A 12,489-nucleotide genomic window follows, 5' to 3' on the forward strand; every position below is an offset into this window, starting at 1 on the left:
TCAAGAACTTGGAGCACTGATGTAATGAATACCTAAAACTGGAAGTAGCCTTGGAACTGCTTAAACTTAAAGAGTAGAGGCTGGAAGTCTTGAAGTCATGCTAGCAAAAGCCTACATTGCTGTGAATGAACTATTAAAAGCAACTCTGGTGAGGGCCCAGAAAGAAAAGAGGAGAGCGGTAGATACAGTCTCAATTTTCTTTTTTTTTTTTTTTTTTTTTTTTTTGAGACAGGGTCTCATTCTGTTGCCTGTGTTGGAGTGCGATGGCATGATCTCGACTCACTGCAACCTCTGCTTCCTGGCCTCAAGCAATGCGCCCGCCTCAGTGCCCCAAGTAGCTGGGACTACAGGTGCCAGCCACCATGCCCAGCTAATTTTTGTATTTTTTGTAAAGACGAGGTTTCACCATGTTGCTCAGGCTAGTCTCAAACTCCTGAGCTCAAGTGATCCACCCACCTCAGCCTCCCAAAGTGGTAGGATTACAGGCATGAGCCACTGCGCCCGGCCTCAATCTTCTTAAAGAATACCTAAGTAATCCTGAACAGATTGTTGTAGAAATATGGACAGTAAAGGCCATTCTGATGAAGTCTTAGACAGAAACATGTTATTGAAAACTGAAGGAAAGATTACCCTTGTTATAAAGTGGCAAATAACTTGGCTGAACTGTGTTCATATCCTAGTGTTTTGTGGAAGGTAGAACCTGTAAGCAATGAAATTGGATGTTTAGCTGATGCTATTTGTACACAAAGCGTTGAGAGACCGGGTTCCTCTTGATGGCATATAGTAAAATGCAAGAAGAGAGAAATAATTTAAAGGCAGAATTGTTAATCAAAAGAGAAGCAGAACTTAAAGATTTGGGAAATTTTCAGCCTACCCATATTATAAAAAATGAGAAACATGTTCAGGAGAAAACACCAAGGGTGTGGCCAAATGACCATTTCACCATTTAATAAGGAGCCTTGTCAGCCATCAAAACAGAAACCAGGACCTATTGTTCAAGACAATGGAAGAATGATCCCAATTTCAGTGCCAATTTTCTGTCTTAGTCTGTTTGAGTTGCTATAACATAATACTATAAACTGGCTGGATTATAAACAACTGAAATCTATTTCCCACAGTTCTGGAGACTAAGAAGTCCAAGATTAAGGCACCAACAAATTTGGTGTCTGGTGAGGGTCCAACTTTCTGGTTCAGACACAGTGCCTTCTGGCTGTGTCCCACATGGTGGAAGGAGCCAGCTAGCTCTCCAGGGTCTCATTTGTAAGGGCATTAATCCCATTCCTGAGGGTTCTGCCCTCATGACCTAATACCTCCCAGAGGCCTCCCCTCCTAATACCATCATATTGAGTGTTAGGTTTCATGATAGGAATTAGGAGTAGGGAAGACACATAGATTCAGACCAAATCAGTACTATTTGTCATATTTATTGCCCATTTGATCCTTCTGGTCACCAATCCATGAAATATGAACACACATAGGAAGAAAGCCAGCACAAGAAAGAGACTGAAGAAGCTAGGGGGCTGATTGAGGTAAGAGTCAGAAGGATGAATTGATTATCTTGCCAGAAAATTGGTGATATGTGTAAGACACACTTTCCCTCCAAAAAGTAAGAATATCTTGCATTAGACTGTTGTACTAAAGTGTTATTTGCAGTACTGGGTATTAGTCCTCGTCAAACTTCCTAACATTCTCTAAACATTTAGCAGGAATTCAATAGCATGTAAAATAAACATGTGTTATCGGTAGACAAGATCTAATTTACAAAACTCTGATTTTTCTAAAATGTTTTCACTAAGTCCCCAACTCATTCACATCTTTCTCTCTCTACATATCAAATTGACAATCTTTTAACGTTTTTGAGCCACATGAGAATTTCTTTTCATTCAAATAGTTCTAAATCCTTTAGCTGCTGAATTCAAGTGGCAGCTTCCAATCTACTTCTTTTAGTCTCTTAAGGCCAATCAGGCCAGGCGTGGTGGCTCATGCCTATAATCCCAGCACTTTGGGAGGCCGAGGCAGATGGATCCCTTGAGGCTGTGAGTTAGAGACCAGCCTGGCCAACATAGTGAAACCCTGTCTCTACTAAAAATACAAAAATTAGCTAGGCGTGGTGGCTGAGGCAAGAGAATTGCTTGAACCCAGGAGGCAGAGGTTGCAGTGAGCCGAGGGAGACAGAGTGAGACTCTGTCTCAAAAAAAAAAAAAGAAGGTCAATCAAAACTTGTGGCCACCACCCCTCAGGCATGTGGTACTCCCATAATAAAGCCTGGAATTTTATTTACAACAGGAAGCACTGGAAGTAGCTAGCAAGAATAATAGTTCCTTGAGGATGGGGCCGATGCTATGCTTTTTTATGATGCTCCACTGAACTTACAATAATTCTGTGTACATAAAAGGTACTCCATAATATACTGAGTGGTACTTGTTTTAGGTCCATGGCATCTCTTGTAGCTAGTTGTGTTCATATGATTGAATCTAGCTACAACGTAGAAGTTGCAGGGTGGAACTTTTAGGAAAATTCCTTATAAGAGGAGGATGGACACAAGATGAGTATCATTTTGCCCTTCCCCTCTTCCTCCTTTCTTTGCCAGAGGGTAAATGGTTGCCATTTCCCTAACAGCTGTCTTGGACTATAAGGCGATGCACTAAGAATGTACTAAGAATTATGACCTAGGATAGAATGAACACAGGTCCCTGATAAGAGTGGAAGGCCACCCTGGAGTGCCTATTTTGGCACTTTACAAAAGAGAAACAAACACTTATGTATATCATTGGTTTTGGATGATGCTTTCTGTTACACACAGTTGAACCTAATCCTAACTGATAAAAGGGCAATAATGTCTATGGTAGTAGCCAAGAATCAGGTGATTCTAGGTCAGCCTACATCAAGACAATACGGGAGCAGCTGAAGGAACAGGCTCCTCAAGATTGACTCCAACACCTCAGGCTACCTTCTGGGTTTACTCGGCCTCTAGACTGGAACCTGGGGATAACAATGAGAAGGCAGAAGGAAACTGCAGCACATATCCTAGACTGAGATCTAGATACAGCCTTGAATGGACTTGAGCTGTGACTATATGGCCCACTTCCTTGATTCAATATCTAGAGACCTTGATAATGAAAAGCATCATCTACAGAGGCTAAATCAGTGAAGAACAAGATTAGTCAAGGCTATTTGATGATATTAAGGGATTTTTAAAATTTTTGTAAGTATGATAATGAGATTGTAGTTTTTTTTTTCAAGTTATCTTTTAGAGATACAAATTGAAATATTTATAAGTGAAATAAAATAATGGCTGGAATTCTCTTCAAAATACTTTGAGGGGAGAAATGGATGATAATATGGATGAAATAAGACTGCCATGAGTTGATCATTGTGGATGCAAGGAACATGGAGATTCGTCATACTATTTCTCTACTTTTCTATGATGATTGAAATTCTTCATTAACAAAATAAAAATAAGAGTGACCCATGGAGAATCACATTACACCGAGGAGTGTCTGGTAGCAGGAGTGGGCATAGAAGCAAGTGCAGATTAGTAGTGGATTTCCCTCCTGCTGGGAGCACAGAGGAACCACTCCCTAGCACCTATGCTACTCAGCCATTCAAATTCCAGTCTGGCTAGGCTGGCCCATGTATAACTGTGATGAAGGGTGTGGGCCAGCCCCACTCCATCTCTTCCTTGTTATTAAATCACAGAAAGGCTCAGTGAGAGCATTGTATATTCCTCTTCTATCTCCACATTTGCAGTCAAAGGAGTCAAAACACTTGCGGCTGTGAATATTGAGTGCTGTTGTAGACACTATGCTAAAATAGCTCTGGGTCCAAAGTTTATGAGATATTTCTTTAGAGACAGAAGCTTTGGTGCAGAGTTTGAAAAATAACCTCTTGGTCGGGTGCAGTGGCTCAGCCTGTAATCCCAGCACTTTGGGAGGCCGAGGTGGGCGGATCACCTGAGGTTGGGAGTTTGAGACCAGCCTGACCAACATGGAGAAACCCCGTCTCTACTAAAAATACAAAATTAGCCAGGCGTGGTGGCGCATGCCTGTAATCCCAGGGACTTGGGAGGCTGAGGCAGGAGAATCACTTGAACCAGGGAGGTGGAGGTTGCGGTGAGCTGAGATCATGCCATTGCACTCCAGCCTGGGCAACAAGAGCGAAACTCCGTCTCAAAAAAAAAAAAAAAAAAAAAAGAAAAGAAAGAAAAAGAAAAAGAAAGAAAAGTAATCTCTTGATGTTAGACAGATGCTTTCATTCTCTGCTGATGGGAGGGTTAGGGAGTCTACCTTTCTGGCAAGTTGGTAGTATGTAGAGTGCAAAAATAATATGGCAACAATCTAAATGGTCAAAAATTCACGAGTAAGAGAATAATGCAATGCTTATACATGGGATATGGCATAACTATTAAAATGATGTTTATGAAGAATTTATAATAACATGGGAAGTCCTTATGCTACCATTGTTAAATGAAAAAAATTGGAACATAAAATTGTTTGTTCTATATAATCCCATGATGTAAAATATACAATTATATGGAAACAAACAAAAAGACCCTTTGTCTCAACAGTAATTAAACCAGGCTGATGGGATTAGGAATGATTCCTATCCATTTATTTTTCCTTAGGGTAGAGTCATACCTGGGGTACAGGAGATCTGAATCAGTAAAATATGGGGATCTGTAAAGCATAAGTTATCAGCCATGGACTTTTACCTGGCACCACTGATAGAACTCAGAGGGGTTGTAAACTTGGACTGCTAAAAAGTTATATCTCTATTGTCACTAACCTCTACTAATTTTTTTGTTTTTTTTTTATTGTGGTAAAATATACATAACATAAAATTTAGCATTTTAACCATTTCAAGAGTACAGTTTTGTGGCATTAAATATATTTACATTGTACAACCATTACCGTCATCTCTAGACTGAAATTTAACTTCTTCAATTATGAATGTAGTCAATGCACCACAGTAAATTACCAGTACCTGTGACTTTGTCACCAATTGAAATCAAAGTTATTTTCATATCACATTACAGTTGTTAGTAGATATATCGAAATATTGTTCGTGTTCTTCACAGCTTTGAAATTCAGCAGTTACTAGAACTGCCACCAAATCGTGTTATTTAATGTAAAATTACCAGATTATGAAATAGTTTTTAAAATTGTTCTTAACCATGTTTCAGTATAAAAGTTTTCCTTGGTAATCCTATATATTTTATTTTAGTAATCCTATGTATTTTATTTTATGTATTTTAAAACATTGCTTTCAGAAGAAATTGATAGGTTTCATCAAACTGCCAAAGGGATTCACAGGACAAAAACAATAAAGAAATTCTCAGCAGATGTGTTCCTGACAGATGGGCTAATTAAAGTGTTAGTTACCCTCAATATATAATAGTGGCTTAGTAACAGGTGTGTTTGGGGCCCCAAAATTCTTTCCAATTGTTCTATTGGTGATGTAGCCTAGTAGAATATGATACCAACTCCATCTGCATCTCCCCAACACTCCCTGTGCATTTAGCCATTAGAATAATCTTGTTTGCAGGTATCCTTCAGAAAACACTGTTTGATGGACCTCAAAAGACATTCAGGTGTAAACAGGAAGCTAACTGGAAAGAGAAATGGCCTGATGGGGCTGATGGAGAGTTGTGTTGACAGTTTTTCCTCTGCCTCAGTGGCCAATCAACATTACGCTAGGTGAAATAAGCCAGGCACAGAAAGACAATTACTGCATGATCTCACTCATATGCGAAATCTAAAAAAATCAAACTCACAGAAGCAAAGAGTAGAATGGTGGTTACCCCGGCTAGGGGATGGGAGGATATGGAAGGAGAGATGTTGGTCAAAGGATGCAAAATTTCAGTCAGGAGGAATGAGTTCAAGAGATTCATTGCACAAAATGGTGACTATAGTTAATAACAATGTATACTCGAAATTGGCTAAGAGAGACTTTAAGTGTTCTCATCACAAAAAAATAAGTATGTGAGGTAATGAATATGTTAATTAGCTTGATTTAGCCATCCCACAATATAGACACCTATCAAAACATCATTTTGTACATCATAAATATATACAATTTTTATTTGTCAATTTAAAACATAACTAAAAAAATTGAACCCATCAAAAATGTAGATCAGCACTCATTGAGGAAGGCCAGGAGTTTTTTAAAACCCTATAAATACATTTCAAAGATTAAAAAGTTGAGAAAGTAACCCTTTTAAAGCTTAAGTTGAGCAACAAAGTAGCATGAAAATTATCAGAGTAGAGTTTAAGAGGGACAAACCAGTCTCACTTTTCAAAATGGAATCCATCTCTGTAATGTATTTCTTCTATTAGAAAATGTTTTGGGGATCTGATATGGTGCTAGGGGCTGTATTCCCTGGGCTATGACCACCATCTGATACCTTTCTGTGCATATAAGACTTATTTCCCCCACAAATCCCAAATTTCCCATATTCAAATGAAAACATTCTCTAAAGTTGAAAGACATCTACCTAATCTATAATCACCTTCTCTGAGAGCTAGACCCATCTACACGTGTCCCTCACCAGACGTCTACAGAGTTGGGTCCCAGCAGTCTCTCAGTGAATCTAAATCCTTGGCAACGGCAGATTGGCCAGCAGTGGAGGCCTGATCTATGCTCAACCAATCAGATTCTCTCTCCTGGGAATTTGGAATTGAGAATCAGAGTTACTCCCTGGTGCTTTGAAGTGTGGGCAAATAAACTTAGGGGCTGTGTGGTGGGCATGTTTGGCGATATGCATGCTGAGGCAGATAGCATGTCAGCCCAGGGTGGCACACCAGTGTGCAGAGAGAAGCAGAGACATTTCCTGAAGCTCAGCTGCACTTTCTGCCCAAGACCTCTGTATTCACATTACAGAAACCCCCTTTGGGCTGGGGCTGGTTTGCCCCCAATTGCAAACTTTAAAGTTTGCACTTATGCACTCCACAGGCCAGCTCACGACTATCTTGGCCCCCTCTTCCCAAAATCACCATCAACATCCCACCAGTCCCTTCTGAAAAGAAAACAAGGAGCAGCCACCCAACTAGCATACCTCGGGTCTGCCAATGCTTCTCCGGACCCTCGCTCCAACCCCTTCCGACTGCTCCCGGCTGAGCACTGAGAGAGTAACTTTCTTGGAGGACCCCATATCGGAGTCTAAAAAGAGAGTGTTCTGATGCTGAGCTGTAGAGGATGGAGGGCTAAAGGAAGGACAACAAAAAAAAAAGAAGTCATAAAGGAGGGAACATCCAAGGACTACAAAATAAATGATATTAAGATTAGATGCGCAAAATAGTAGCAGCTACAATTTGTTGATGTCTTACTATGTGCAGGGCCTGGGTTAGGTGATTTAAAACAACCATAATGATGGTGAACATGTATGCATACCTACTAGGTGCCCAGTACCCCACCAATTATTTACAACTATCTCATGTAATCCTACAGTAATCTTGTGCGAAGGTTAGCGATACAGTCATGTGCCTGCCACATAATGACATTCAGGTCAACATTACACAGTCAACAATATATGGACTGTATGTATGACAGTAGTCCCATAAGACTATAATGCCATATTTTTACTGTATCTTTTCTATGTTTAGGTATGTTTAGATACACAAATACTCACCACGGTGTTGCAGTTGCCTCAGTATTCAGTACAGGAACATGCTGTATGGGTTTGTAGCCTAGGAACAATAGGCTATACCATATATCCTACTACACACCTAGGTTATACCAGCTAGGTTTGTCTAAGTGTACTCTAAGATGCTTGCACAACGACAAAATCACCTAACAATGCATTTCTCCGAACATATCCCCATCGTTAAGTGAAGCATGACTTTAGCAGCTCTGTTGGCCCCTTACTAAAAATCTCCAATGAACACTTTGTCTTTCTTACTTCACTGAATTCTCTCGATCTCCCACCCCTTCCCCAGTGCCACTCATCTGTCAGCCTCACTGGTAGCACCCATGAGGTAGTTGCTACCAATGAGGCTGACAGATGGGGGCAGGTTTGTGTGGCGCCTTAGAGAAAATGGAGAAAAACAAAGAGGTCCCTAACTCTTACCAGAACATGCTGAAGATCTTGGCATTAAAAGAGATCTTCGAGGGTCATTGAATTCAAAGACCCATCTATTCCTGAAGTTCAGGGCCAACATTTTGGGCAAGAAATCTTTCAGCTTACTCATGAAGTCTCCTAGAGCATAGGCAAGTCATGGACCAGCTGTTCTTGGCAATGTATCTCATATTTCAGGACTTACCTATAGCCAGAGTTTGTTATTCGAAAGTCTTTTCCTCTTTGGGAGGTCTAGGTTCTAATGGACTATCCCAGAAGGAATATAATCTATCCCTATTCCACTTCAAGTGTTTGCAGACAGTACCCCCAATCCCTTAAATCTTTTCTTCAAGTGAAATATACCCAATTCCTTCAAAGATTCCTACTGAAACGAAGAGAGGTGCTTTGGCAAAAAGCAGACTCTGGAACCAGACAGCCTAGGTTTGCATCTCAGCTTCACCACATATCAGCTGTGTGACCTGAGGTTTTCTGTGGCTCAGTTTTATCTGTAAAATGGAATGATAAGACCGCCTACCTCAAAGGGGTGCAGTTAGTGCTATGAGAATGTTAGCTGCTGTTATTCAGAAGGGCTCTACTCCACAATACCCTCCACTTAGTCAAGGCCTACCCTAAAATGTATCCTCCCTGAATAGTAATCGATAAATATTTATTGGGTGATAGGTTGCAAGGCGCAGAAACGAGCTTAATACTCAAAGCAGTACAGGCCGGTCATCACCTACATCGAAGCAACCAGAAAGTATCTTTATCCCCATCTAGATTATGTCTGGGTCCTTCCAGACTCCTACGATTAAATTGTATGCATGTGAACAACTGATGAGGTACTTAGATCTCAGTGCTTTGCAGAAAGAAAAGCCGTCTACCATTTTCACCAAATTTCGTAGTACAATTTAAGTATCTCTTGTTATCTCCCCTAGGAGTCTAAAGTGAGCTGGGGAAGGCAGGATTTTGCAAACTGACCGCCAGCATTCCCTCACCTAGTGGACCCCTGCAGGAGCCCCAGGTACTCACGCTGCGGTAGCGGCACCTGGAGCCTTAGCGGCGGGGGTGACGCGAAGAGCCGCCGGGAGCGAGTGCAGGGAGGGCAGGTTAAGAGAGTGTGGGTCCAGTAGCCTCACCGTGACTCAGCGCTTCGCGGCCGGCGGCCTAGAGGAGGCGGGAGGCGGGAGTCTACGGGTCTCGGAGGCCCTGGGGCTCCGCCCTCGGGAATGTCACTCCACTCTCGCTCCGCCCTACGCCTCTCCCAGGCCAGCTTGGCGGCCCTTTGGCCTCCCTGCCTCTCGTGCCGGGAAGAGATGCTCACTCGGGTAATTTAGGCGGCACTTGCTGTGCTCCAGGAGGAAATGTGTGGCCCGGGCAGGTGCTCTGATCGGCGCTCCGGTCGGTCTTGTGGGAAATCTGTTTTTAACTGTAGTCTCCCTGTCACCCAGCCGGCGGAGCTTGGCGGCACGGATTCCAGTGCTGCCTCCACCGCTGGGAGGCACCACTTGACATGACCTGGGACAGGTGGCTCAGTCTCTCTGTGCCTCTGGTTCCTCCTCTATAAAATGAGGATGGTGATGATAATAGTGCCAGCCTTATCGGGCTGAAATGAGAATTAAATGAGCCTGTCACATTCTAAGCACTACAGAATCGTTTGTTCCATAGATAAGTTGCCTGCTGTTTGTCAGTTAGAATTGCGAGAAAAGGAGTGCGGGAGTGGGGACGGGCAGCCATACGTCTTTATTCCTGCCTGAAGAGAAGGCACACTCTAGTGGGGAGATAATTGGTTAAGAGTTTGTATGGTGTTGGAACACAGTGGGCAGGCGTTGGAGAGTTTTTCCAGAAGAATGAGGAGCTGGCACAAGCCAGTGAGGGGATCTAGTTGATTACTAGGATTATTAACTAGTGGTACAGGCATAGCTGCAGTTTCTATTCTCTAAACACCAGAAGGCTCATTGCCTGGTTTTGAGAAAGGAAAGACAGTGGTGTCTCTAAAATAAGGTTGGAAAACTTTGTCTGTGAAGGACCAGATAGTAAATACTTTGACTTTGCAGGCCATGTACATTCTCCAGTTTGCCTTTGTAGCAAGAAAGCAGCCATAGATAACATGTAAATAAATGAATGTGGCTGTAGTTCAATAAAACTTTAATTATGAATACTGAAATATAAATTCATAAAATTCATACAATTTTGAGTTCATATAATTTTTACTTGTCATGAAATATTATCCTTCTTTTGATCTTAAATGTAAAACCACTTAAAATGTAAAAACCATTCTTAGCCCTCTGGCTATACAAAAATAGGTAGTGGGCTACCTACTCATTTTGGCTGCAGGCCTAGTATGCAGATCCCTGCTCTAAAAGAACAGGTTAGTAGAGGAACGAACACTTTTCTCTGGGCTTTTAAAATATCAGTGGGGCTTAAACCCGTCCTCATCACCTTACTTAGGCAGTTCAAGGCTAGCTGAGATAATACACATGAACATTAAAGGTGCTATGGAATAACAAAGTATTGTTTCTTATCGTCATTGTAACTAGTTCTGCAACTGTCTCCTCTACCTCTGCAGCTGTAATAGGTGTACTAGGAGTGAACGTTTCTCCTCTTTGTCTCTCAGAAGCCAGTTACAGGTAAAAGCTAAGTCCAAGGTTGTACATGGTTAGAGCAATGCAGGAATTCCATTTACAGGCCCCTGCAGAAAAAAGAAAAGAAAAGAAAAAAGAACAAGTCTGAAAAGGTAGAAGACTTAAAATGAGGAGAAACAAAGGTGAGAGAGGGAAGAATTCTTACAAATGAACAAAGGGCGTATAATGTTTCACTGTAACAGGGTCCTGTTTTGAGATGAGAAATGTGACCCTGTATATTAAGCTTTGAGCACTTTTCACACTGTCATTGACATCCAGATCAAGATGTGGAGTAGGTGGCTAAATATATGAGTGTGTAGATGGACTGTTGATCACCTTTGGAATCTTGGGAAGCATAAAGAAAACTCATGCTGATATGACAATGAACAAAGCCTTCCCTAAATGATTCCAAATAACACCATTATAATCTTTAAAGACAACCACATTATTTAGGTACCTTGACTCTTTTCTTTTTTATTCACGAATTCCATTTTCCTCCTCTGTAAAACTTATTGAATTTCTTTTCAAAGATACATATTATAGAAGTACATGGGGCCAGGCGCGGTGGCTCACGCCTGTAATCCCAGCACTTTGGGAGGCCGAGGCAGGCAGATCACCTGAGGTCGGGAGTTCGAGACCAGCCTGACCAAAATGGAGAAACCCTGTCTCTACTAAAAGTACAAAATTAGCCAGGCGTGGGGGCGCATGCCTCTAATCCCAGCTACTCGGGAGACTGAGGCAGGAGAATTGCTTGAACCCAGGAGACGGAGGTTGCCGTGAGCCGAGGTCGTGCCATTGCACTCCAGCCTGGGCAACAAGAGTGAAACTCAGTCTCAAAAATTAAAAAAAAAAAAAAAAAAGTACATGGACATCTGAAACACTTCCTTATTTTTGTTTCTTTCTTCTTCAAGCCATCAACTCAAAAATTCTTTCTTGTAGATTTTGTTAATTTGCCCTTCAGGGCAGTGTAGCTGCTATTCATTAGATGACAAATGTCTCTGAAATATTCCATATTATAAAGACTCAGACTCACTGAACCCAGGAAATCAATTGGCTCCAAGTCAAGGACTGATTATTTTATAAATGCTAGTTTACGAAGGCCATAAATACACTGGGTGGTTAAAGACATCCAAAGATATCCAGAAAAGATGAGCACATGTGACTCCCATATCCACCCTCATGAGAGCATTCTGCACAGACACGGTCTGTTCCATCGACCAGTGCTCTGACCAAGAAGCTACATGTGATCAGCTGTTGCATGAAACTCATAATTGTGTTTTTCTCTATCTTTCCCTTGGGTTTTTGGCAGTTCTCCGAAAAAAAAATAGCTTATGACCCTTTCCTTTGAGCCACAGAACTTTCTAGAATCCATCACAAGCAAAATACTCTCAGGCCTGAAAGGCCAATTCATCTCTGAACCAGGAAACTGGAGAAATTTAGATGAATGATTCCCCTGATACTTACCTCAATTACCCTGATAACCTTTCTCAGTTTTCAGCTTTTGTAAAGTTTTGTCTTCTGGCTGAATGGAGGCCGCTTTCTAGATCACAGTATTGGAGTAAAAATTAAAAAATAATTTGAATAACTAACAACCTCTAGTTAATGTTATGTACATTAACTAGTGTTTATGGATTAAGTGTACTGATGTCCGCAACTTACTTTGAATGCACCAAAAAATAACAATAGCAGCAATAATAATAGGAATGACAACAAAGTGAATTAATGGATGAATAGAGAGATGGATAAACGGATTGATATATGACAAAGCAAATACAGCAAAATGTCAATTGTAGAATCCAGATGGTGGTGTATTGG

General features: G+C 41.4%; 1 protein-coding gene and 1 long non-coding RNA gene across 3 annotated transcripts in view, besides 2 other annotated features; both read right to left on the reverse strand.

The window, feature by feature from the left end:
* Nucleotides 1–7,202, reverse strand: part of PIR-FIGF (PIR-FIGF readthrough) — a 145,719-nt gene extending 138,517 nt beyond the window's left edge. Inside the window, exon 1 of the long non-coding RNA NR_037859.2 lies at nucleotides 7,055–7,202. This is a non-coding gene — a long non-coding RNA (PIR-FIGF readthrough). The remainder of the gene's footprint in view (nucleotides 1–7,054) is intronic.
* The window catches only part of PIR (pirin), a 108,535-nt gene extending 99,309 nt beyond the window's left edge, over nucleotides 1–9,226 (reverse strand). Inside the window, exons 1-2 of one of the 2 annotated variants that reach the window (NM_001018109.3) lie at nucleotides 9,083–9,226; nucleotides 7,055–7,202 (exon numbers count right to left, since the gene is read on the reverse strand). In NM_001018109.3, coding sequence (NP_001018119.1) covers nucleotides 7,055–7,150 — 96 coding nt within the window. In that variant the 5' untranslated portion in view covers nucleotides 7,151–7,202; nucleotides 9,083–9,226. Of the gene's footprint in view, nucleotides 1–7,054; nucleotides 7,203–9,048 lie in introns of both variants that reach the window. The other variant, NM_003662.4, reaches the window with a different exon arrangement.
* Nucleotides 8,636–9,138: an enhancer, noted in NCBI's record as "H3K27ac hESC enhancer chrX:15510866-15511368 (GRCh37/hg19 assembly coordinates)". NCBI's record gives its function as "activates a minimal SCP1, AML or CMV promoter by ChIP-STARR-seq in naive H9 embryonic stem cells {active_cell/tissue: H9 hESC(naive)}" and the evidence as "EXISTENCE:reporter gene assay evidence [ECO:0000049][PMID:30033119]".
* Nucleotides 9,139–9,642: an enhancer, noted in NCBI's record as "H3K27ac hESC enhancer chrX:15511369-15511872 (GRCh37/hg19 assembly coordinates)". NCBI's record gives its function as "activates a minimal SCP1, AML or CMV promoter by ChIP-STARR-seq in naive H9 embryonic stem cells {active_cell/tissue: H9 hESC(naive)}" and the evidence as "EXISTENCE:reporter gene assay evidence [ECO:0000049][PMID:30033119]".

Source organism: Homo sapiens, chromosome X (genome assembly GCF_000001405.40).
Source record: "Homo sapiens chromosome X, GRCh38.p14 Primary Assembly".
In the NCBI taxonomy this organism is placed as follows: Eukaryota; Metazoa; Chordata; class Mammalia; order Primates; family Hominidae; genus Homo; species Homo sapiens.